At 37.8% G+C, this 27513-nt stretch overlaps 1 protein-coding gene and 1 long non-coding RNA gene across 15 annotated transcripts in view; one reads left to right on the top strand and one right to left on the bottom strand.

Annotated features, from left to right (window-relative positions):
- Positions 1-9869: 9869 nt before the first annotated feature.
- Positions 9870-27513, bottom strand: part of OCIAD1 (OCIA domain containing 1) — a 56660-nt gene continuing 39016 nt past the window's right edge. For 8 of the 14 annotated variants that reach the window (XM_047415862.1, XM_024454108.2, NM_001168254.2 and 5 more), the window contains 5 exons: positions 23239-23286; positions 21603-21738; positions 19710-19879; positions 14320-14472; positions 9870-10960 (listed from right to left, as the gene is read on the bottom strand). In XM_047415862.1, the coding sequence (XP_047271818.1) occupies positions 10923-10960; positions 14320-14472; positions 19710-19879; positions 21603-21738; positions 23239-23286 (545 nt within the window). In that variant the 3' untranslated portion in view covers positions 9870-10922. Of the gene's footprint in view, positions 10961-14319; positions 14473-19664; positions 19880-21602; positions 21739-23238; positions 23287-27513 lie in introns of all 14 variants that reach the window. The other 6 variants (XM_024454112.2, NM_001079842.3, NM_001079840.3 and 3 more) reach the window with 2 other exon arrangements.
- On the top strand, positions 11482-19678 carry OCIAD1-AS1 (OCIAD1 antisense RNA 1). The gene is made up of 2 exons (NR_146806.1): positions 11482-11528; positions 19460-19678. It is a non-coding gene; the product is annotated as an OCIAD1 antisense RNA 1 (long non-coding RNA).

The following is a 27513-nucleotide window of genomic DNA, read 5'->3' as shown; positions in this document are numbered from 1 at the left end:
CAGCCTCAGAGAGAGAGCAAGACTCTGTCTCAAAAAAAAAAAAAAAAAAGGAAAAAAAGTAAGGTAAAGAGGACAACACAAAAATATAGATAAATATTCCATGTTCATGGATTAGACAAATCAACATTGTTGAAATGTCCATACTCTCCAAAGCAATCTACAGATTCAATGCAATCTCTGTCAAAATACCAGTGACATTCTTCACAGAAATAGAAAAAAACAACCCTAAAGCTTATATAGAACCACAAAAGACCCAGAATAGCCAAAGCTATCCTAAGGAAAAAAAAAAAAAATACTGGAGGAATCACATTGGCTGACTTCAAGGTATACTACAGAGCTATAGTAACCAAAACAGCATAGTACTGGCATAAACACAGACACATACACCAGTGGAACATAACAGATAACCCCAAAACAAATGCATACATCTACAGTGCACTCAATTTTCAACAAAGTTGCCAAGAATATAATGGGGAAAGGACAGTCTCTTCAACAAATGGTGCTGGGAAAACTGGATATCCACATGCAGAAGAATGACACTAGACCCATCTCTTACCATATACAGAAATCAAATCAATATGAATTAAAGAGTAAATCTAAGACCTCAGACTATGAAACTACTAAAACATTGAAGAAACACTCTAGGACATGGGACTGGGTAAAGATTTCTTGAGTAATATCCCATAGGCACAGGCAACCAACAGAAAAATGGGCAAATGGTATTACATCAGGTTAAAACCTTCTCCATAGCAAAGAAAATAATCCACAAAGTGAAAAGACAACCCATGTGATGGGAGATAATATTCGCAAACTATCCATCTGACAAGGGATTAGTAACCAGAACATAAGAGGAACTCAAACAACTCAATAGGAAAAAATCTAATAATCCAATTAAAAAAATGGGCATCCTCTGGTGGATGCTGAGATTTAAAATACTAATAATAGGCCAGGTGGGAGGAGCCAAGATGGCCGAATAGGAACAGCTCCGGTCTACAGCTCCCAGCATGAGCCACGCAGAAGACTGGTGATTTCTGCATTTCCAACTGAGGTACCAAGTTCATCTTACTGGGGAGTGCCAGAGAGGAGGTGCAGGACAGTGGGTGCAGCGCACCATGTGTGAGCCGAAGCAGGGCGAGGTATCACCTCACCTGGGAAGTGCAAGGGGTCAGGGAATTCCCTTTCCTAGTCAAAGAAAGGGGTGACAGACGGCACCTGGAAAATAGGGTCACTCCCACCCTAATACTGAGCTTTTCCAACGGGCTTAAAAAACGGCACACCAGGAGATTATATCCCGCACATAGCTCAGAGGGTCCTACGCCCATGGAGTCTCACTCATTGCTAGCACAGCAGTCTGAGATCAAACTGGAAGGCAGCAGTGAGGCTGGGGGAGGGGTGCCCATCATTGCCGAGTTAGTTGTTTGATTAGGTAAACAAAGCGGCCGGGAAGCTCGAACTGGGTGGAACCCACCACAGCTCAAGGGGGCCTGCCTGCCTCTGTAGGCTCCACTTCTGGGGGCAGGGCACAGACAAACAAAAAGACAGCAGTAACCTCTGCAGACTTAAACGTCCCTCTCTGACAGCTTTGAAGAGAGTAGTGGTTCTCCCAGCATGCAGCTTGAGATCTGAAAACGGGCGGACTGCCTCCTCAAGTGGGTCCCTGACCCCTGAGTAGACTAACTGGGAGGCAACCCCAAGTAGGGGCAGACTGACACCTCATAGAGCCGGGTACTCCTCTGAGACAAAACTTCCAGCGGAATGATCAGGCAGCAGCATTTGCAGTTCACCAATATCCGCTGTTCTGCAGACACCGCTGCTGATACCCAGGCAAACAGGGTCTGGAGTGGACTTCTAGCAAACTCCAACAGACCTGCAGCTGAGGGTCCTGTCTGTTAGAAGGAAAACTAACAAACAGAAAGGACATCCACACCAAATACCCACCTGTGTGTCACCATCATCAAAGACCAAAGGTAGATAAAGCCACAAAGATGGGAAAAAAACGGAGCAGAAAAACTGGAAACTCTAAAAATCAGAGCATCTCTCCTCCTCCAAAGGAACACAGCTCCTCACCAGCAATGGAACAAAGCTGGACGGAGAATGACTTTGACGAGTTGAGAGAAGAAGGCTTCAGACAATCAAACTACTCCAAGCTACAGGAGCAAACTCGAACCAATGGCAAAGAAGTTAAAAGCTTTGAAAAAAAATTAGATGAATGGATAACTAGAATAACCAATGCAGAGAAGTCCTTAAAGGACCTGACAGAGCTGAAAACCAAGGCACGAGAGCTACGTGATGAATGCAGAAGCCTCAGTAGCCGACGCGATCAACTGCAAGAAAGGGTATCAGTGATGGAAGATCAAATGAATGAAATGAAGCAAGAAGAGAAGTTTAGAGAAAAAAGAATAAAAAGAAATGAACAAAGCCTCCAAGAAATATGGGACTATGTGAAAAGACCAAATCTATGTCTGATTGGTGTACCTGAAAGTGACGGAGAGAATGGAACTAAGTTGGAAAACACTCTGCAGGATATTATCCAGGAGAACTTCCCCAATCTACCAAGGCAGGCCAACATTCAAATTCAGGAAATACAGAGAACGCCACAAAGATACTCCTTGAGAAGAGCAACTCCAAGACACATAATTGTCAGATTCACCAAAGTGGAAATGAAGGAAAAAATGTTAAGGGCAGCCAGAGAGAAAGGTCGGGTTACCCACAAAAGGAAGCCCATTAGACTAACAGCGGATCTCTTGGCAGAAGCTCTACAAGCCAGAAGAGAGTGGGGGCCAATATTCAACATTCTTAAAGACAAGAATTTTCAACCCAGAATTTCATATCCAGCCAAACTAAGCTTCATAAGTGAAGGAGAAATAAAATACTTTACAGACAAGCAAATGCTGAGATTTCGTCACCACCAGGCCTACCCTAAAAGAGCTCCTGAAGGACGCACTAAACATGGAAAGGAACAACCGGTACCAGCCTCTGCAAAAACATGCCAAATTGTAAAGACCATCCAGGCTAGGAAGAAACTGCATCAACTAATGAGCAAAATAACCAGCTAACATCATAATAACAGGATCAAATTCACACATAACAATATTAACCTTAAATGTAAATGGGCTAAATGCTCCAATTAAAAGACACAGACTGGCAAATTGGATAAAGAGTCAAGACCCATCAGTGTGCTGTATTCAGGAAACCCATCTCACGTGCAGAGACACACATAGGCTAAAAATAAAGGGATGGAGGAAGACCTACCAAGCAAATGGAAAACAAAAAAGCAGGGGTTGCAATCCTAGTCTCTGATAAAACAGACTTTAAACCAACAAAGATCAAAAGAGACAAAGAAGGCCATTACATAATGGTAAAGGGATCAATTCAACAAGAAGAGCTAACTATCCTAAATAGATATGCACCCAATACAGGAGCACCCAGATTCATAAAGCAAGTCCTGAGTGACCTACAAAGAGACTTAGACTCCCACACAATAATAATGGGAGACTTTAACACCCCACTGTCAACATTAGACAGATCAATGAGACAGAAAGTTAACAAGGATACCCAGGAATTGAACTCAGCTCTGCACCAAGCAGACCTAATAGACATCTACAGAACTCTCCACCCCAAATCAACAGAATATACATTCTTTTCAGCAACACAACACACCTACTCCAAAATCGACCACATACTTGGAAGTAAAGCTCTCCTCAGCAAATGTAAAAGAACCGAAATTATAACAAACTATCTCTCAGAACACAGTGCCATCAAACTAGAACTCAGGATTAAGAAACTCACTCAAAACCGCTCAACTACATGGAAACTGAACAACCTGCTCCTGAATGACTACTGGGTAAATAATGAAATGAAGGCAAAAATAAAGATGTTCTTTGAAATCAACGAGAATAAAGACACAACATACCAGAATCTCTGGGACACATTTAAAGCAGTGTGTAGAGGGAAATTTATAGCACTAAATGCCCACAAGAGAAAGCAGGAAAGATCTAAAATTGACACCCTAACATCACAATTAAAAGAACTAGAAAAGCGAGAGCAAACACATTCAAAAGCTAGCAGAAGGCAAGAAATAACTAAAATCAGAGCAGAACTGAAGGAAATGGAGACACAAAAAACCCTTCAAAAAATTAATGAATCCAGGAGCTGGTTTTTTGAAAAGATCAACAAAATTGATAGACTGCTAGCAAGACTAATAAAGAAGAAAAGAGGGAAGAACCAAATAGACGCAATAAGAAATGATAAAGCGGATATCACCACTGTTCCCACAGAAATACAAACTACCATCAGAGGATACTATAAACACCTCTATGCAAATAAACTAGAAAATCTAGAAGAAATGAATAAATTCCTCAACACATACATCCTCCCAAGAGTATACCAGGAAGAAGTTGAATCTCTGAATAGACCAATAACAGGCTCTGAAATTGAGGCAATAATCAATAGCTTACCAACCAAAAAAAGTCCAGGACCAGATGGATTCACAGCCGAATTCTACCAGAGGTACAAAGAGGAGCTGGTACCATTCCTTCTGAAACTATTCCAATCAATAGAAAAAGAGGGAATCCTCCCTTACTCATTTTATGAGGCCAGCATCATCCTGATTCCAAAGCCTGGCAGAGACACAACCAAAAAAGAGAATTTTAGACCAGTATCCTTGATGAACATTGATGCAAAAATCCTCAATAAAATACTGGCAAACCAAATCCAGCAGCACATCAAAAAGCTTATCCACCATGATCAAGTGGGCTTCATCCCTGGGATGCAAGGCTGGTTCAACATACTCAAATCAATAAATGTAATCCAGCGTATAAACAGAACCAAAGACAAAAACCACATGATTATCTCAATAGATGCAGAAAAGGCCTTTAACAAAATTCAACAACCCTTCATGCTAAAAACTCTCAATAAATTAGGTATTGATGGGATGTATCTCAAAATAATAAGAGCTGTCTATGACAAACCCACAGCCAATATCATACTGAATGGGCTAAAGCTGGAAGCATTCCCTTTGAAAACGGGCACAAGACAGGGATGCCCTCCCTCTCTCACCACTCCTATTCAACATAGTGTTGGAAGTTCTGGCCAGGGCAATCAGGCAGGAGAAGGAAATAAAGGGTATTCAATTAGGAAAAGAGGGAGTCAAATTGTCCCTGTTTGCAGATGACACGATTGTATATCTAGAAAACCCCATAGTCTCAGCCCAAAATCTCCTCAAGGTGACAAGCAAATTCAGCAAAGTCTCAGGATACAAAATCAATGTACAAAAATCACAAGCATTCTTATACACCAATAACAGACAAACAGAGAGCCAAATCATGAGTGAACTCCCATTCACAATTGCTTCAAAGAGAATAATATACCTAGGAATCCAACTTACAAGGGATGTGAAGGACCTCTTCAAGGAGAACTACAAACCACTGCTCAATGAAATAAAAGAGGATACAAACAAATGGAAGAACATTCCATGCTCATGGGTAGGAAGAATCAATATCGTGAAAATGGCCATACTGCCCAAGGTAATTTATACATTCAATGCCAACCTCATCAAGTTACCAATGACTTTCTTCACAGAATTGGAAAAAACTACTTTAAAGTTCATATGGAACCAAAAAAGAGCCCACATCACCAAGTCAATCTAAGCCAAAAGAACAAAGCTGGAGGCATCATGCTACCTGACTTCAAACTATACTACAAGGCTACAGTAACCAAAATAGCATGGTACCGGTACCAAAACAGAGATATAGACCAACGGAACAGAACAGAGCCCTCAGAAATAATGCCACATATCTACAACCATCTGATCTTTGACAAACCTGACAAAAACAAGAAATGGGGAAAGGATTCCCTATTTAATAAATGGTGCTGGGAAAACTGGCTAGCCATATGTAGAAAGCTGAAACTGGATCCCTTCCTTACACCTTATAGAAAAATTAATTCAAGATGGATTAAAGACTTAAATGTTTGATGTAAAACCATAAAAACCCTAGAAGAAAACCTAGGCAATACCATTCAGGACATAGGCATGGGCAAGGACTTCATGTCTAAAACACCAAAAGCAATGGCAACAAAAGCCAAAATTGACAAATGGGATCTAATTAAACTAAAGAGCTTCTGCACAGCAAAAGAAACTACCATCAGAGTGAACAGGCAACCTACAGAATGGGACAAAATTTTTGCAACCTACTCATCTGACAAAGGGCTAATATCCAGAATCTACAATGAACTCAAGCAAATTTACAAGAAAAAAACAAACAACCCCATCAAAAAGTGGGTGAAAGATATGAACAGACACTTCTCAAAAGAGGACATTTATGCAGCCAAAAAACACATGAAAAAATGCTCATCATCACTGACCATCAGAGAAATGCAAATCAAAACCACAATGAGATACCATCTCACACCAGTTAGAATGGCTATCATTAAAAAGTCAGGAAACAACAGGGGCTGGAGAGGATGTGGAGAAATAGGAAAACTTTTACACTGTTGGTGGGACTGTAAACTAGTTCAACCATTGTGGAAGTCAGTGTGGTGTTTCCTCAGGGATCTAGAACTAGAAATACCATTTGACCCAGCCATCCCATTACTGGGTATATATCCAAAGGATTCTAAAGCATGCTGCTATAAAGACACATGCACGCGTATGTTTATAGTGGCACTATTTACAATAGCAAAGACTTGGAACCAACCTAAATGTCCAACAATAGACTGGATTAAGAAAATGTGGCACATATACACCATGGAATACTATGCAGCCATAAAAAATGATGAGTTCATGTCCTTTGTAGGGACATGGATGAAACTGGAAACCATCATTCTCTGCAAACTATTGCAAGGACAAAAAACCAAACACCGCATGTTCTCGCTCATAGGTGGGAATTGAACAATGAGAACACTTGGACACAGGAAGGGGAACCTCACACTCTGGGGACTGTTGTGGAGTGGGGGAAGGGGGAGGGATAGTATTAGGAGATATACCTAATGCTAAATGATGAGTTAATGGGTGCAGCACACCAACATGGCACATGTATACATATGTAACAAACCTGCACGTTGTGCACATATACCGTAAAACTTAAAAGTATAATAATAATAAAATTAAAAAAATAAATAATAATAACAATAGGCCAGGTGCAGTGGCCCGTATCTGTAATCCAAGCACTTTAGGAGGCCAAGGTCGCCAAATCACTTGAGCTTAGGAGTTTGAGACCAGCCTGGGCAACATAGCAAGGCCCTGTTTCAATAAAAAGAAGAAAAAAAGAACAAAATAGTAATATTATTATAATAAATGGGCAAAAGCTCTGAATAGACATTTCTCAAAAGAAGACATACAGATGGCAAATAGGTATATGAAAAAGAGCTCAACATTATTATCAGAGAAGTGCACATCAGAACTATTATGAGATATCATCTCATGTCAGTTAAAATGGCTTTTATCCAAAAGACAGGCAATAAGAAATGCTGGTGAGGATATGGAGAAAAGGGAATCTTCATACACTGTTGGTGGGAATGCAAATTATTACAACTATGATGGAGAAGAGTTTGGAAGTTCCTCGAAAAACTAAAAAAAAAAGAGCTATCATATAATCCAGCAGTCCCACTGCTAGGTATACACCCAAAAGAAAAGAAATCAGTATATCAGAGATATCTGCACTCTAATGTTTACTGTAACACTATTCACAATAGCCAAGATTTGGAAACAACCTAAGTGTCCCACAAACAGATGAATGGATAAAGAAAATGTGGTACATGTACTCAATGGAGTACTACTCAGTCTTAAAAAAGGATGAGATCCTATCACTTGCAACAACATGGATGGAACTGGAGTTCATTATGTTAAATGAAATAAGCCAGGCACTGAAAGACAAATTTCACGTTCTCATTTATTTATGGGAGCTAAAATTTAAAATAATTGAAGTCACGGTGATAGACAGTAGGATGGTTACGAGGGGCTGGGAAGGGTAGTGAGTTGCAAGTGGGACAGGCAGGTGCAGTGGGTCTATGGTTAATGGGTACAAAAAAATAGAGTAAGACCTAGTATTTGCTAGCACAACAGGGTGACTATAGTCTAAAATAATTATATATTTTAAAACAACTAAAAGAGTATAATTGGATCATTTGTTACACAAAGGATAAATGCTTGAGGGGATGAATATCCCATTTATCCTGATGTGATTACACATTGCATGCCTGTATCAAAATATTTCATGTAACCCATATATATTCGTGTGTACCCCCCAAAATAATAATTTTAAAATAGAAATTTTGTACCTGGAAGTGAGGTCCTGCCACAACAAGAACCTAAGACATATGGCATTCACTTTGGGACCAAGTAGCAGATGGATGCTGCCAGGATCATGAAGAGATTGCTAGTTAAATCCTAAAGGGCCTCGAGGAAGGCATTAGCAGAAGCCCAAAGGGCTTCCAAGGAGGATGTCAGAGGGAGGAAAATGTTATTGGAAGCTAGAAGAGCCCCTTTTTAAGCAGTAAGTTTAGCAAAACTGTTACCTGTGCTATCACCAAAAATAGAAAATGTGCCTAATGATCTAGCTAAGATTTCCTGGCAGTGTTGAGTCTGGGGCCATTTGGCTTTTTCTACCCATCCAAAATAAAATGAGGAAGAGGTATAAAGAACAAATTATTCCACTCCCAAATGGAATTTGGAAGACATATTAAGGCTCAGAATAGCCCTTTCAATGGCTCTCAAAGACCAAATCCAAAGTGGGGCAAAAGATACTTTGCTCAAGACCTCAGGAAGATGAGTGCATCTTAAGACATTTCAGACATGTAAATTGCCTACGTGTCTTACCAGCATGCCTTTTAGACCCTGTCCAAGGCTTAGAATCTGAAGTATGTTGTTCATCAGCCTCACAGGGAGCCCAACATAGAAAAAGGACTATTTCCAATAGACTTTATGAGTGGCTCTTGTGTAATAGAATGGATTATAAATTGATACATGAGAAATACACAGGAAAAAAATATGAAAAAATATGTCAGCTTGGACAGGGGTAGTAGTAAAAATAGGCCTTTGGACCCCCAAATTCTGTGAGGGAGTAGGCTTTAAAAAACAAACAAAAAAAACTACTCAGCTGCAAACACAAGTGCCTCAATAGAAAAGGAAAAATCAGAGGGCAGGGTCAAAAGCACCAGAGAACAACCCCCAGGGAATATACCTAGGCCCCAAAGAACAGCCACATTAGGCTGGCTAGACTTCAGAATTGCAAGCCAAGCCTTTCCTTTTCTCTTTTTGAATGGGAATCTCCAGAGTAGTGATGTTATGCCTAACAGGTGAACAAAGCAGATAAGTTCTTAAGTTCAGGCCTTCAGACAGAGAAATGGTATTCATGACGCTTTTATTCATGAAGCTTTACCCAAGGAGCCTCATCCATACCTTATCCTGATTAGATGATCAGCTCCTAGACTTTGAGCTTTTGTAATGGCATAGGAAACAGAGGTCCTCAGGAAAGGGATGTGAATTACAGCTGCCAAATGATAGACTGAAAGATGGCTGCGGTATCTCCCATCCCATGTGTTCTTTCTAAAATGTGACTAGGTGGGGGTCTATTGGTCCAGGTTCCTAACGTCCACTATAAAATGGTGTAGTATTTACATATAACCAATGCACATCCTCCTATATACTTTAAGTCATTTATAGATTACTTGTAATGCCTAATGTAAATGCTATGTAAATAGTTATTACAATGTATTGTTTGGGAATAACAAGAGTTCAGTACAGACAACCATCCATTTCTCTCCCTCAAATATTTTCAATCTGCAGTTGATTGAATCTGCAGATACGGAACCCACAGATACGAAGGGTCACTGTACACCAATTTTTCTTTTTAACATAATATCAGTCTCTGTGATGTATACCAAATTTTTATTGTTTTAGAATTTACAAATTCTTTAAAAATGCTTTTTAAGGCATTTACCTATTTACTATATTATCAATTTATCTACATAAATCACATTCATTATATTTTTATTTTTTTAGACACAGGGTCTCACTCAGTCGCACAGGCTGGAGTTCAGTGGTGTGACCACAGCTCACTGCAACCCAGAACCACTGGGTTCAACTGATCCTCCCAACTCAGCCTCTTAAGTAACTAGGACTACAGGCACACGACACCATCGCCAGCTAATTTTTATTTTTTTGTAAAGACAGGGTCTCGCTTTGTTGCCCAGGCTGGTCTCAAACTCCTGGACTCATGCAATCCTCCCACTTCGGCCTCCCAAAGTGCTGGGATTACAGGCATGAACCACTGCCCACTGCCTCCAGCCATATTATAGATTTATAGCCATATTATAGCCATATTATAGAAATATTATAGATGACTTTATTTCCTATACCTACATGATTATAACTAGCTTAAAAATAAATCAATAAATTACAAACAATAAAACCATAAAATCAAGGAAGATGAGGGCTGTTGCATGTTCCTTTACATTTTATTTGCCATAAACATTAAGATAATACAGAAAATACTGGAGAAAAAAAGCTTTTTAATAATTTCTTGATGCAAAGCTTCACACTTAAAAATTATGCTTGCTCCCCCCATCCACCCCAATTCAACATGCAGATATCATTTATTTTCTTATATGCTGATTCTAGAGCATTGTAATCTCGACGGTTTTTTAAGAGTTATCTTTGCCCTTGCAACAATTTCACAAACTGTATACAATCATGGTATAATACCATCATTCAAATGAATCCCTAAGGTGAGTACATTTACACAATATTAACACTAAAAATCTGTGTTTTTTTAAAACACCATAGAAGTCAAACCACAAAAACCCAGGATCTTGTTTTAAATGTGTTTATGAAGACTGCTGCTGAGCTCAAAGCATGCAGGTAATCATGACCACCTAGATGAAGCTGGATGTTGAAACTCCTTCATGTCCAATGATGTAATTTTTCACTCATCCCAAGTATCTCCATACTTGTTTACTTTGACTAGGAAAAAAGCATAAATAATTGATGATTCCAAGCAATAATAAGTAAAAGACATTATTTTAAGTTTGTTGCTATGATGAAAAGTTATGTTTCTCTCTCATTTGAATAAAAGCACATGAGAGTCAAATTATAATTACAAAAAGGGGATGACCAGACTTTTGTGAACTTGGGGTTGGACAAATGCATTGTATCTAGAATTTTACATAAATAGTTAGTCCTCATAACAAACTTCTAAACACAATTCTCATTTTAATGGTGAGAAAAAAGATTAGTAACTTGCCCAAGGTACAAGCCCTAACAAGAACTGAGATTTGAGTATAGGTCTGTTTAGATCCAAAGCCTAGGTACCTTTACATCTTTACCATACTACCTAAGTGTGGCACATATTAAGCCATATACAAAAAAAAAAAAAAATAGTGGGAAATAATAAAACAAACATTTGAATTTTCGTTTTTCACAAAAAATACAGCAGTAGAAATGGTCAAGTGTTCAAGTTGTAATTAATTCAATCTTCTCTCTCAGGGCTGTAAATACTACTATAAGAAGAAAATACTACTACATTTTACAGGTACTCTATATTTTACATTTTAAAACATGCTCCGCTGTCTATTCTACTCCTTTACTTTTTTGCTTCTCTTCCACATAGCTTCTGTCTGTGAGTAATCATAACAATATAAAGCAGCAGTTATCACAGTGTGGACTCTTCAGGGAATACATGAAGTCAAAATTATTTCATTATTATACTAAGACATTATATATCCTTATGTTTCACATTTTGCCTTTTCCCCTTGCTCTCATTCCCTCATGAGTATATGTTACATGGTTTTCTAGAAGCTACAGGATGTGTGGTGACATTGCTCTGGCAGCTAATGGAATATGTGCTTGAATTTTTTAAATTTCTGGGTCTTAATTTCTAATTAGATAAATATCAACCACATAAGCTAAAGGTGAAAACTTTAAGTGACACTTTCTGACCATGTGAATCTACCCTGTACTAATTTCAACAATAATTCAGAAAATGACTGAAACTATTTCATAACAAGTCTTTTCTTTAAATTATATAAAGCACACAAAAAACCAGCTTTTCCCAAAAAAAGAAAAAATCATTTCACATTCTTGTGTCATGTAACAGAACTTGAAGACTTCAGTCAAAAATCAAAAATGTCAAAATCCAGCAAATGTTAAAGGTCTACCAAATTTCCTTTCTTAACCTCTATTACCATAGAAGCCTAAACCAAAATACTCAATTTCTGATACAGTGTAAAGTACTATGCTATGCAGACAATAATAGAAAAGATTACAAAAATGAGAAAAATATTACTTTCTGCCCTCACAGAGCTTACAATCTAAATCCTCAAATTAATTAGCAGGACAAAGTACCGACAAGTCTTTACATATTACAGAGCAATGGCCACTAGATGCAGTTTATGCTAAATGTTGTTTGATGACAAACATTCAAAAGTATGGTACATCCCTAATTCATTTCAAAGGTAGATTTTTTTTACATCAATAATATGATGCAGATATTATCTATCATTGTTATAAAAACAGAACTCCAAACGAAGCAACCGCTAATGATTAAAAATAAAATTAGCTCTAAAAAATGACCATAACAACAAATACTAAGGACTTTCATGTATTTTTGCATTCTTTGTGGCATATGACCTTCAAGAAGGTACCAAAGACCTATTATTTCCATTTTTAAAGTAGTAAATAGAAAATCTTGAAACAATGACACATACTCTGAAATTCCTTAAGAGAAAATCATAAAACCCTATACTGAAATAGCTATAAAACCCTATTCGAATGTCCTCTTCCTTTAGAGGTAAACTTGTATCAAAAAATTTACTTTGGCTAATGTATAGCTATTCCAAAAAGACTTAAAAGAAACCAGGATTTAAAAATTCATCTTTAAGAAATGCCTTAGAAGCTGGCATATAACTCTTTCAAATTCACAAATGTACAAGAAAGGTCAGGCACAGTGGCTCCCACCTATAATCCCAGCATTCTGGGAGGCCAAGGTGAAAGGACTGGTTGAGCCCAGGAGTTTGAGACCAGCCTTGGCAACATAGGGAAAAACCCACTGCACCAAAAAAAATTTTTAACAGCCAGGGATGGTGGCATACAACTGTAGTCCCAGCTACTCAGGAAGCTGAGGTAGGAGGACTGCTTGAACCCAGGAGGTCAAGACTGCAGTAAGCCATGATTACACCACTGCACTCCAGCCTGGGTGACAGAATAAAACCATCTCAAAAAGAAAAAACAAACAAACAGAACAAAAAAACACGAGAAAAACCCAAATGTACAAGAAAATCAATCTCATTACTCAATCATTCTGTGGTTAGGCCACAAGTGGTATTACAGCGCAACGCCAACCTCAGGTCACTACAGCAACTTATGCGATAGATGTATCATTAGGAAAATAAGACTATCAGATCTCCAAGGAGATTTGTTGTAAGAGAGAAACAGTCAAATGAGTATGTCTCTACCCTGTGTTAAACTAATCTTGCTGTCTTAAGACTTACTATTTGGACTTCACTATTTTCTTCCTTTTTTTGGCGGGGGGAGGGGGGAACAGAGCCTCGCTCCGTCATCCAGGCTGCAGTGCAGTGGCGTGATGTCGGTTCACTGCAACCTCTGCCTCCTGGGTTCATGCAGTTCTCCTGCCTCAGCCTCCCGAGTAGCTAGGATTACAGGCATGCACCACCATGCCCAGCTGATTTTTGTATTTTTAGTAGAGACAAGGTATCGCCATGTTGGCCATGCTGGTCTCCAATTCCTGGCCTCAAGTGATACACCCAGCTTGGTCTCCCAAAGTGCTGGGATTTCAGGCATGAGACACCACACCTGGCCTTGACTTCATTATTTTCTAACACAAAATGGCCTTTGGAACACCTTAAAAATGGAAAACTGGCCGGACACGGTGGCTCAAGCCTGTAATCCTAGCACTCTCAGAGACTGAGGCAGGCGGATCACAAGGTCAAAAGATCGAGACCATCCTGGCCAACATGATGAAACCCCATCTCTACTAAAAATACAAAAAATTAGCTGGGCGTGGGGGCCTGTAGTCCTAGCTATTTGGGAGGCTGAGGCAGGAGGATTGCTTGAATCCAGGAGGCAGAGGCTGCAGTGAGCCAAGATCGTGCCACTGCACTCCAGCCTGGCGACGGAGCAAGACTCCGTCTCAAAAAAAAAAAAAGAACTGATAACTGTAAAGTACTATTTTAAAAATATTTTACTTTGGTTAATTGCTTGAAGAGTTAAATCACATATTAATTAATTTTTTATAGTATTGTTTTAAAGTAATGTTTTAGTTTCCAATCCTCAACAGTAAAGTGATTCAGACTAAACTATCATACCTTCTTTTTTTGGCACTCTTTCATGCATAGGCCTGACTGAGGGGTCAGTCTTTTGTGTTAAAGATACTTCATATGACTCTCTGTTCTTATTCCTTAATTCCTCATATGTAATATTTTTTCTTTTAGGACTTTCTTCAAGGTTGGGATCAGGTCCTAAAACAACAAACAGTTAATAAATGGTAATAAAAGGATTTGTATAACTCTAAAGCAACTAAATTTTACAAATGCTCCTTACAAAAGGAGCTACAATCAAAATAGAATAAAGAATCAAATTATTACCACCATTTCACAGGTACTATACTTTCACCAAGATAATCATCAAACTGAAATCTACTTCCACCCATATTTTTAAGCTTTTATTTCTAAAAATTAAAATGGACATCAAAAATTTTAAAAACTAAACCACAGCCAGAAGAAAAATATGTATCATAATATATAACAGTACAATTTAAACTCATTAAAATACCAGTGTTTTAAACTGGAGTTACTCATACTGTATACAGAATTAAAAGAGAAATATATTCTACTAGGGACAACTGAATAAAACTTGACATAGCATAGATTTTACTCAATATATAGTTAAATAGTCCTATAACCACAGACTCTATGAAAACAACTCCAGCTATTTTCAAAAATCATTTATTTTACCTTTTTACAAAATTTAAACAAAAATACTGAAAATAGGCCAGGCACAATGGCTCACAACTATAATCCCAGCACTTTGGAAGGCCGAGGCGGGCGGATCACCTGAGGTCAGGAGTTCAAGACCAGCCTGGCCAACAAGAAACCTCATCTCTACTAAAAACACAAAATTAGTTGGGCGTGGTGGCACACACCTGTAATCCTAACTACTAAGGAGGCTGAGGCAGAATCGCTTGAACCCAGGAGGCGGAGGTTGCAGTGAGCTGAGATCGCGCCATTGCACTCCAGCCTGGGCAACAAGAGCAAAACTCTGTCTCAAAAAAAAAGGAAAAAAAGTTGAAAATAATTACTTGAAAAGTATAAAACATAGCCTTTAATCAGAATATGTGTTGTTTTCATTCCAGTCTAACAGATGCAATGTTGATGCAGAAGAAAGTATCAACTGTTATTTTGGCCTGGGAACTAACATTTATTCTTTATTTCTCCCAAAGAGAGTCAAAATGTGAATATTACATATTATCATAGAGTCAAATGTAAATATAATGCAGTGGTTACTCCTAATATTGGTTGACAGGATCAAATAGTGAACATAGTTTATACAATTTATAAACAGCAAAAAAGGCCATATGAACATTAAAAAAAAAAGATGCTAACATTCAGTGAACAACTACTTAACTTACAAAGTCTTACCTACCACATACCACACCAAAAGTACTGTTTTTCAAAGATGTTTTCAATAAGACATACAAATTGGGCATATACTTTTAATATTAACTTTTTAAAAAATAATTTTTGTGATACTTATTTAGAACTCAAAGGTAGGATCCCAGTGAATAATCAGAATTTTCTAAGCAACATAACTATACATTAAATAATGTTTTCAACCATAAACTTTTTTTTTTTTTTTTGAGACAGAGTCTCACTCTGTTACCCAGGCTGGAGCACAGGGGCACAATCTCGACTCACTGAAACCTCCCCCTGCCAGGTTCCAGTGATTGTCCTGCCTGAGCCTCCCAAGTAGCTGGGATTATAGGCATGTGCCACTATGCCCAGCTAATTTTGCATTTTTAGTAGAGACAGGGTTTCGCCATATTGGTCAGGCTGGTCTTGAACTCTGACCTCAGGTGATCCACCCGCCTCGGCCTCCCAAAGTGCTGGGATTACAGGCATGAGCCACTGCACCCAGCCATTTTCAACCATAAACATTTATTCTGCTAAATAAATATATACTATACTTATATAAAGCAAAGAGGATTTAAATTTCTCCTAATTAGTTCTAGTATTATATGATGGTTCAAAACTACATTTTTCTTACTAAAAAAAGAATGTAAAGAAAAATATTATAACCTTATATTGGGATTAAAACACTTTGCATTTCATTAGTAATAAGTAATTACTGAACTCATTTCCCTTCACCATATATGTTATATTAAAAATTCTGAAGGAAATCGTGTGTACTTCAGGAACCTTGGGTTCTTAACCCCACTCTGCTGACAATTAGGAAATGTCCTTGGGCAAATCACTAAGCTTCTTTGAATCCTGGTTTTCTCAATTGCGAAATATGGTAGTTTGAGCAGATGATCTCTGAAGTTCCTTCCAGGTCTAATACTTTTTCTTATAAAAAATATTTTACCATTATAAAATTCTGGAACAAATAATGAAAATATACATCAGACAGAAGAAGACTGGGGAGAATTTCCCACACTATGGAGAGAACATGATTTACTATTTTGGGAAGGTTATAAAGAACTGGAAGGAATAAAAAAATGTAAAGTGGCACTGATTTAAATCTAACTGTAATAAACTCTAAGTCTCCTAACAGCTCTGAAGGAGTGCTTGCTATTTTAAAAGATTAATAACTCTCTGAATTCCTGGTAAAAGAAAGCAGAACTAAAGTAGGACTTAAACCAAAGAATAAGATGCCCTGGTAGGGGAGGATAGCATCTGGGGCAAAGCAAAAGCAGGCCACTGCTGGCCCATGTGGAGAGCAGTAAAAAAGTAGCCACTTTGATTTAGAGAAGGGGGTCAGAAGGCAGAGCAGTGGATGGATGGATGGCTGCTGTGGAAGGCATAAAATAATATTAAGACATGGCCTTGCTAAGTAGTCTGTGGGTAGATACCAAAGGGCTTTTTGTTTGTTGGCTTTTGTATGGAAAAAAACTATATAACAGAATTTCCTAATGCAAATGGTGGGGAAGATGCAAGTCATCACAAGGAAAGAGTTAGTGCATGTCTAGAATACAGTAGTGCCCCCTTATCTGTGGTTTCGCTTTCCAGGGTTTCAGTTACCTGCAGTCAACCATGGTCTGAAAATATTACATGGAACATTCCAGAAATAAACAGTTCATAAATTTTAAATTACACCCTGTTCTGAGTAGTGTGATAAAATCTTGTGAGGTTCTGCTCTGGTCCATCCAGGACTTGAATCATCCCTTTGTCCAGCATATCCACACTGTCTACACTACATGCCTGTTAGTAACTTAGTAGCCATCTAGATCAAAAAAACATAGAACATAAAGGATTTGGTAATATCTGAGGTTTCAGGCATCCACAGGGGTCTTCGAACTTATCCCCCATGGATAAGGGGGGACTACTGTACAAGAAGAATGGATTTGAACTTCAGACTGGTTAAATGAGACATAGTGAGGAACAAGGACAGCTGCCTTTGGAGATAAGATAGTGACTTTAGCCATTCTCTCCTAATCTGCCCATTCCCTTCCTTCCTTTTCTGACTAATTTGATGCCTTTGCTTCCAACCATTAAAGAAAAAAATAAAAAAATCAGAGTTGAGGATTAAGAAGCTCTCAATAACTTTCATCCAAATTCTTTAATCATCTGAACTTCCATTCTTTCCTGTCTCTTCCTTTATACAAGGCTAATACTCACCCCTTTGCCCCGACTTTTGCTCTTAAGTAGTGCTGTCCAACATAACTTTCTGCAATGATGAAAATGTTCTATATTGGCACTAACACGGTAGCCACTAGCACATGTGACTATTGAGCAAGTGAAATGCTACCAAAGCAATTGAGAAATTGAATTTTAAATTTCATTTAACTTTAATTAATTTAAATAGCCACATATGGCTAGCGGCTACTCTGACCTACCTAGAACCCCCTTCTGCATTCTCTAGAACCTTCTCTGACCTATAATCAACTTCTCCCTTTCCACTGTATACCCTCCCCTCCCTTTAACTTCTTTCCCTCTAATCTTTTAAAATTTAAAGAGTATACTCTACAAAGGTCCATAATCCCTTATCCAAACCTTGGGGTCAGGTATGTTTCACTATTCAAAGTTTCTGAGGTTTTAGAAAAATACTACAGTAAATACCCCTTATATTACTTAATATCCATCCATTCAGAGGTTTAGGACAGGAATGAGTAAGCAAACACATTAATATTTCTATAATGAAATAAAGGAAAAATCTTATCTGGCAAAGTAAATAAAGTCTACGTTTATATAACTTATGTGAATTTAGGTCAGGGTATTCTGCTAAATGAATTCAGGTCAGATTTTATTACCAGTTTAATTATTAAAAAACAAAAACAGGCCGGGGGCAGTGGCTCACACCTGTAATCCCAGCACTTTGGGAGGCCGAGGCGGGCGGATCACGAGGTCAGGAGATCAAGACCATCCTGGCCAACACAGTGAAACCCCATCTCTACTAAAAATACAAAAAATTAGCCGAGCGTGGTGGCGGGCACCTGCAGTCCCAGCTACTCAGGAGACTGAGGCAGAATGGCGTGAAGCTGGGGGGGCGGAGGTTGCAGTGAGCCGAGATCGCACCACTACAGTCCAGACTGGGCGACAGAGCAAGACTCCATCTCAAAAAAAAAAAAAAAAACAAAAAACAAAAAAAAACTTGGCTTAAACCTTTTTGAATTTCAGGATTTTAGATAAAGAATTACAGACCTGTATTTCCCGTTTCTAATTCCTCATCTTTTACTGCCGACTAGACTGAAGGAAAGAAACTAATGTTTTTTGAGTCTATTATTTGCCAGACATTGCCTCTGATTATTTCCTCTAATTCCAACAGTTCATTAAGAGAGGTAGTATCATCTCCATTCAACTGATCAAGAAACTGAAAGGATCATAAAGTAGTTATAATAATATTACTACATTATTATAATGTAGTAGTAGTATTACAAGGTCACATAGCTAGCAAATGTCAATCATGATTCAAATCCAAGCCTTAATACAAAATTGATGTTGTTGCACTTACATGTGTGATCTTCAAAGCTAGTATTTACAAACTTCACAAAGCATTTTCACATGGATTTTCTCACTTGACAACAGTTCTTTCTTGTATTACAGACAGGGAAGCTGAAAGCCTTTAAAACCCAGCCTATCAAATGTAACCTTTTTATACCTTTCCTGGAGCTCTACTTCCTGAGACACGATTTATCATTTCTTCTTCACTATTCCACTAAGCTTGCCTTAGTATTTTCAATTACTGGGACATACTAGTAATTCATCCTTGTATTTCTATATCTTCTAACAGACTGAAAGTTTTTCAGGGACAAGAACCAAGTGTTATTCATCTTCTTCCACGTCTAGCAGAGTCCTTGACACCTACTGGTCCTCAAGAAAAGTTGAATGAATGAAGAAACAAATGAACAAACATGCTGAGTTTAGGTTGATGATTGATGGTAGAACACACAGGTGATATCCAGCAGAAAAGGTCATCAAATAAAGTTTATACATACGTTGGACCATAAAATGTTGAAATTCATTTCAAGAGAAGTTTCTACCTTGGACAATATGATCAGTAATACCAGTGGGAGCAGATTCATTCATAGAAGAACTGAATGGAATTGGCTCATAATGAGGAAGCATTTCTATGTTGTCTGCTGCTGGGGATGTCACAAAAGATGATTGACCACTCACACTTGAGTCATATTTTGACTTTTGATAATAGTGCCTGTAAATGAAAATCATATTGTAGTAAGAAATATGAGTCATTGCCTATATCTTAAAGAAGTGTTAAAATAACTTCTTTCATATAGCTTATTTCCAAAATTATATATACATATAATTTTTTTTATTTTTTTGAGACAGGGTCTTGCTCTGTCACCCAGGCTATAGTGCAGTGACGCAGTCTTGGCTTATTGCAATCTCCACCTCCTAGGCTCAAGCAATCCTCCTACCCCTCAGCTTCCCAAGTAGCTGGGACTACAGGCATGCGCCACCACTTGGTTTTTTGTAGAGATGAGGTCTCACTATATTGCCCTGGCTGGTCTCAAACTACTGGGCTCAAGCAACCCTCCTGCCTCAGCTTCCCAAAGTGCTGGGATTACTGGCATGAGCCACCGCGTCTGGCCTCAAAATAATTTTTAACGCAGTTATTTATAATCAGTAAAATGAGGTCTGTTTCTTTCTGCCAACAAAACACTTTTAAAAAGTCCTGACCCACTTATACATCTTAAAAGCAGTCACTGTCAGTATAGAAAAATAGGAAATGTATACCCAGCCTTTCAAGATAATTTTAGTATGTTTGAAAGTTCTTGGAAAGAAAAAGCACTTTAAATCAGGTCTAATTTCAATAACCATGCCCGTTTCCCATGTCAATTGAGAAGGTAATATCACAGCTAAGAATCTATATAAACACTAATTTGCTAAAGCAGATACAAATTCTCTCTCATGGGGATTATATTGCTTGCCTATCTGTTTAAGAAGCATTAAAATGAAAAGCTGAAATCTGTTAAGAGATGGGATTGATAAGATTTGGGAATTCAAAAGAAAAGTCCAAACTATAGTAACCAAAGGTGTTTGCCAAATTGAATCGAGATAAAATCCTTTATTCTAGAACATGTACTCCCAATAGGACACAACTCTATATTTACAACAATGAAGGCCAGATGCAGTGGCTCACGCCTGTAATCCCAGCACTTTGGGAGGCCAAGTGGGGCAGATCACTTGAGCTCAGGAGTTTGAGACCAGCCTGGTAAACACAGTAAAACCCTGTCTCTTCAAAAAATACAAAAAATTAGCTAGGCGTGGTGGTGTATGCCTGTGGTCTCAGCTACTCCAGAGGCTGAGGGAGGAGGATCACTTGAGCCCAGGAGGCAGAGGTTGCAGTGAGCCGAGATCACGCCACTGTACTCCTAGCCTGGGAGCCAGAGTGAAACTCTGTCTCAAAACAAAACAAAACAAAAATGAAGAACCAGGCACAGTGGTTCACACCTGTAATCTCAACAATTTGGGAAGCCAAAGCAGGAGGACTGATTGAGCCCACTAGTTCAACACCAGCCTGGGCAACATAGTGAGACCCCCATCTCCATAAAAAAAATTTTTTTTTAATTAGCTGGGTGCAGTGGCTGACACCTGTATTCCTAGCTACTCAGAGAGCTTGAGGCAGTGGGGCCTTGTGAACCCAGGAGTTTGAGGCTGCAGTGAGCTAGGATCATGCCATTGTACTCCAGCCTGCGCAACAGAGGGAGATCCCATCATTCATTCATTCATTCATAAATAAATAAATGGTGGCAAGTCTTGCTCCAATTTTTGAAGCAAATTACTTTTAGCCTACAGCAAATGGCAAGTATCCAGTGGTCCTTCAGGCAATGTTTTTGAGCCATGAGTTATAGCAACATCTAGTTGTTTCTTAAAAATTAAAAATCTTAAGTAAAGATCAGAATCTGGCCTACCCAGGTGGTGAAGATCGTCGTGCTTGTCCTGATCGTAAAGCTTCTCCAAGGGGGGAATTTTCAAGTTTCTTGAATTTCTCTTGGCAAGTTTTCACATAAGAAAGTTTTCCAGCAAAGTATCCCATGATACAAGCAACTTATTTGTAAAATCAAACAAAAAGTGTAACTGAATGTGCCTTTCAGACAAAAGTATTTTCTAAAAGAAAAATTTGTTTTAAAGTGTGATTCTAAATAAGTCTTTGGTTTAGAAAGACTGAGATTTCCTGAAATAATGGTAGAAGAAATCAAAATTAAATCAGATCAGAGTTCATATACAGAGTCTATGGATATAATTCAGTTTCCAAAAAAAGTGTGCCAAAATAAAGCTGCTATAAATAAATCAATTATAGTATACTAATTACTTTATAATATATACAGGAAAGATTTAGTAAAGGTATAATGGGAAGAGGAATGGATAAGGAATAAAAGCATCAAAACATTTATTTATTTCTAGTTCTAAATAAACAGAACTAGATCACAAGGATTTAGGCCATTATTTTCCTATAAAACAGAATATCATATGCACAGCCATTTTCACAAGATTGTTTTAAAGTAAAATTAGGTGCAACAAATCCCTTAAAGTAATAAATTACGAACCATAACCTAAACGTGGCACTTACTGCATCACATGAGTTTCAAATAGAAAAGAAAGGCTAACCTGAAAGACTCATGAAAAGCCTCAGGTACTTCTTTTGAAGAGCAATGTAGCTTCTTTTTCTTTTATTTATTTATTTATTTACTTATTTTTTATTATACTTTAAGTTCTAGGGTACATGTGCATAATGTGCAGGTTTGTTACATATGTATACATGTGCCACGTTGGTGTGCTGCACCCATTAACTCGTCGTTTACATTAGGTATATCTCCTAATTCTATCCCTCCCCACTCCCGTCACCCCACAACAGGCCCCGGTGTGTGATGTTCCCCTTCCTGTGTCCACGTGTTCTCATTGTTCGATTCCCACCTATGAGTGAGAACATGCGGTGTTTGGTTTTCTGTCCTTGTGATAGTTTGCTGATAATAATGGTTCCCAGCTTCATCCATGTCCCTACAGAGGACATGAACTCATCCTTTTTTATGGCTGCATAGTATTCCATGGTGTATATGTGCCACATTTTCTTAATCCAGTCTATCATTGATGGGCAATGTAGCTTCTTTTTCTATTAACTATATTGCAATGTGTAAATAAGTTATGCTTATTTACATTTTAAAATACAAATTAGAGAGATTTCTTTTAAAAATTAAGCTTAATTTTAAATATACTTTATTTTGATTAATCAGAATATCTTCATAACTTTGTTTCCCCATAGACAGACCAAAAATTTATTTTCAAATACTTTATCCTTACAAAATAATTTTAAATTAATTGTTCTATTACATTATAAAGACACAAAAAAATGCCTATTTCAACTGATGATTTTTTATGCTAACAATAAAATATCCAAGTAATCCACTTAATGAAATGCTTTAACAAACTGATTTATCAGAGCATGTAACCACATAACTAATATGAGTAAGACATGATAAAACATTTGATAAAAATAATTTTATTTAAGTTTTAAAAAGCTATGAAAACTACAATGTTGTTCATACTTACGTATAAGTTTAGGGATGGAACCATATTTGGGATGACTTGAAAGTATTCCTAAAGAAAAGAGTTAAGTATTTCTGAGTAACACTGTTACAGAAAGAAAAATCAGTAAAGGCTATCTTTAAATATAATCTTACAACATTAGCTCCTTCCATGATCCTACAGAACCCTAGACTGTTTAATAGGGAAAACCAAATGAATTCAGTATCAAGAGAAATATGACGAAAATCCAAAAGACTCTACAAAGTATTAGAACAGGTAAATTTAGAAAGATCACTTGATGTAAGGTCAATAGACCAAATATATATGTGTGTGTGTATGAAAAACTGTTTATACCAACAACAAACAAAAAAACAAACATTTTTTAGAAGACAGAATTAATTATAGCACCAAAAAAAAAAACGCTCAAAACCCAGGAACAAATCTAATGAAAGATATGAAAGATCTCTACACTGACAAGTTATAAAACTTACTGAGAATTGAAAGACCCAATATTCTAAAGATGGCAATTCTCCATAACTTCACCTATAAATACAATGCAATCCCAATTAAAATCAAAGTTTTACAAAAATTGAAAAGCTTATTCTAAGAGTCATGTGGAACACAAAGGGCCAAGGCAACACTGAAGAATCGTATTATAGAACTGACTACCACCAGATAGCAAAATCTACATGATAAAGCTGTAGTAATTAAGACAGTCTGGTATTAAGTACAAGAATAGGCAAACTGACCAAAACTAAGAGTCCAGAAACAGATCCACACCTGCACACTTGATTTATGACAAAGACAACACTGCAGCATAGTCCTTTCAAATATAGTGCTGGGTCAATTAATATCCATTAACAGGGGAAAATGTACCTTGATCCTACATCGAACAATAATCCAGATGGCTTAAAAATTTAAATATGAAAGATTTTTTTAAAAAATTTTACAGAAGAAAGCATGAGACCATCTTTGTGTCCTTAGAGTAGACGAAGATCTTAAAGAGTCAACAAAAAGCACCTATTAGAAAGAAGAAACCTGATAAATTGGACTCTATTAACACTGAAAACTACAGTTAAACAGAGTGGGGAAAAAATAATCACCATATCTATATCTGACAAAAGACTCAATTCCAAAGTATACAGAGAAGTCTCACAAAACCAATAGGAAAAAAGACAATACAATGGAAAAATGGTTAACAGACTTAAACAGATACTTCACAGAAAAAGATATGCTGAAATGAAGTATAAACAAATGGAAAGGTCTTCAACTTCATTGGTTACAGGGAAATACAAATTCAAGCCACAATGCAATCAATATTAGTGTTTATTTACCACAATGGCTAAAACATAAAAGACATAAAAATAGCTAGTGTTGGTGAGAATGTAGGAGTATACATTGGTCTAAATAGTTTGGTAATATCTACTAAAGCTAAATAAATATATACAAAATCTATGACCCAGCAAAATGTCTATCAAAAAGGCACCATATTCTTGGCAAAACTAATTGTAACAGTGAAAATTGAAAACTACCAATTATCAATGCACAGTTCAGATAGATAAACTGGTGTATTCACACAGAGGAAAACTATAGGGCAACTACATGCAACAATGTGGTTAAGTGCAATGATGTGCTGGTAAACCAGCACTCCCTATAAAAAGCTCTAATTTTAATGTTTGTCAGTTTCCATGGTGTAAAGCTACCAATTCTTTTTTTTTTTTTTTTGAGACGAGTCTCGCTCTGTCCCCAGGCTGGAGTGCAGTGGCGCCATCTCAGCTCACTGCAACCTTCGCCTCCTGGGTTCAAGCAATTCTCCTGCCTCAGCCTCCCAAGTAGCTGGGACTACAGGTGCACACCACCATGCCCAGTTAATTTTTTGTATTTTTAGTAGAGACAGGGTTTCACCATATTGGCCAGGATGGTCTCAATCACCTGACCTCATGATCCGCCTGCCTCAGCCTCCCAAAGTGCTGGGATTACCGGCATGAGCCACCGTACCCGGCCAACTACCAACACTTTAAAAACCAGCTTGCCAAAGTTCCCGAAAATTTAACAACCAATTCTCAGGAGCCAGTACAAACCAGTTCCAGCATGCTACTGGATGAATCTCACCATGTTGAAAGAACTTACATAAAAGAATATTTCAGTGTATGATTTCATGTAATTAAAGTACAAAAACAGACAACTAATCTGTGCCTTTAGCCTCAGTTCCTTCATTTATAAGAACTGGGATGACAATAGAAAAAGGAAGATGGTAAGAACATCTCTATTTTTACATTAAAAAGTTGTTCCTTCATACTGTCACCAACTAGTTATAGACCACTTACAACATAAAGGTACTACATACTGGATATTAACAGGAAACAGGACACACTCTTTACTCTCATGGAATTTACAGTCTAGAGAGAGAGTTAAGACAAAGATAATAGTGTCATGGTTGCTATTCATCCCCTCAAATATTTGAGTACTATGTGCACTATGTATGTCCTCTGTCAGGTGCTAGAAATAGCTTATTTTCCTAAGGAGAAGTAGCAAGAATGGAAACAAACAGATTTGTTGAAGGTTAACGCAATACTCTTTGTGACATATGGTTGCATTAATTATGCTGGCAGTACAGATGGAGGTAGATAGTTAATAAAGACATTTAAGAGCTAAAAGACATTAATTGGACAAGGCAGATAAGGGATAGATGTGAAGGATAATGTCCCAGTTTCCTGGATAGTACTAACACCACTCAGTCATGAAGGGAAAGGAGGAATTGGTTTTGTGGAAAATGGTTGAGTTCTGTTTGAGGAGCCTATAGAAGGGCCATACATATTATATATTATATCCAAAATATAGTAACACCAACATTTCCCAAACAACTAGACAAAAAAACCCATACAAGAATGTAAGCACCAAGAGTTAATGAATTTTTGTTGTTTAGTGCTATATAACAATGTATAGTACATATCAGACACTCAAAAAACATGAAACAGAGGAATCGCCTGAGGTAGGAGAAAAATCTTAGGAATATGCCATCATGGAAGCCAAGAGAATAGACTATTTCAAGAAAAACTGGTTAAAGTTATGTAACGTTGGTCAAGAACAAAAACTGTCCATTATATTTAAGCAACAAACAGGTTGTTTTTGAAAAGTTTGTTTTTGAACTTTTGAAAAGTTCCAATAAATGGTAGAACATATGGATAGTCTCACACTGACTGCAATGGGTTAAACGAAGTAAAAAGTGAAGGGCTCATTCATGAAGTCTGCCTCTGGCTTCAAATATGAGGCAGTTGGGAGTAGCTGGAAAAACAAATGAGGGAGGATTTTTTTTTCTTTTTAATGTTCTCAAGTTAGAGGAGACCTGAGCATGTTTAAATGGTTTTGGCAGATCAGGAAGAAACAGAAGGAACATCTAAGACCACGTGGAGTATGACACACTGTGGATGAAAGGGGATACAGGCAGCCCTCCATATGTACATGTTCTGCAACCAACTGCGGATAGAAAATATTTAGGAAAAAAAAAACTGCATCTATACTAAACATGTACAGACTTGTTTCTTGTCATTATTCCCTAAACAATACAGTATAACAACTATTTACATAGTGTTTACATAGTCTTAGGTATTATAAGTAATCTAGAGATGATTTACAGTATACAGGCAGATATGCACGTAAACTTTACTAGGCCGTTTTATATCAGAGACTTAAGCTTTTGTGGATTTTGGTATCCTCTGGAGGGTCCTGGAACCAATCCACACAGACACAAAAGGACCACTGTACAAAATGTCAGGGATTTTGATTAAATGCAAAATGTCTTGGTGGATTCCAAATTCTTTTCTTAAAGTCTCTCTCAATTTTTACCTTTTTTTTGAGACAGAGTCTCGCTCTGTTGCCCAGGCTAGAGTGCAGTGGCGCCATCTCAGCTCACTGCAGCCTCCGCCACCTGGGTTCAAGCGATTCTCCTGCCTCAGTCTCCTGAGTAGCTGGGACTACAGGCACGCACGACCACGCCCGGCTAATTTTTTTGTATTTTTAGTAGAGATGGGGTTTTATCATGTTGGCCAGGACGGTCTCGATTTCCTAACCTTGTGATGCACCCGACTCGGCCTCCCAATATCACTTCTACCGTACCCTCAAGTAGCCCAAAGTCTTCAACTGCACCTAAACCCAAAATCTCTAAAAAACTTCCTCCTCTTCATAACCTAATCCAAATTATAATTTCTCCTGGCTCTACTTCAGCTATTTAATGGATTTTTCACTCCTCCCTGCATGATTTTGTCTCTTCAGTTCAGTCCTGATTGCCTCTCCCAATAG

The sequence above is a fragment of the Homo sapiens genome, chromosome 4 (genome assembly GCF_000001405.40).
Source record: "Homo sapiens chromosome 4, GRCh38.p14 Primary Assembly".
Classification (NCBI taxonomy): Eukaryota; Metazoa; Chordata; class Mammalia; order Primates; family Hominidae; genus Homo; species Homo sapiens.
The sequence above is the reverse complement of the archived record's forward strand: the minus strand, read 5'-3'. Positions and strand labels throughout refer to the sequence as shown.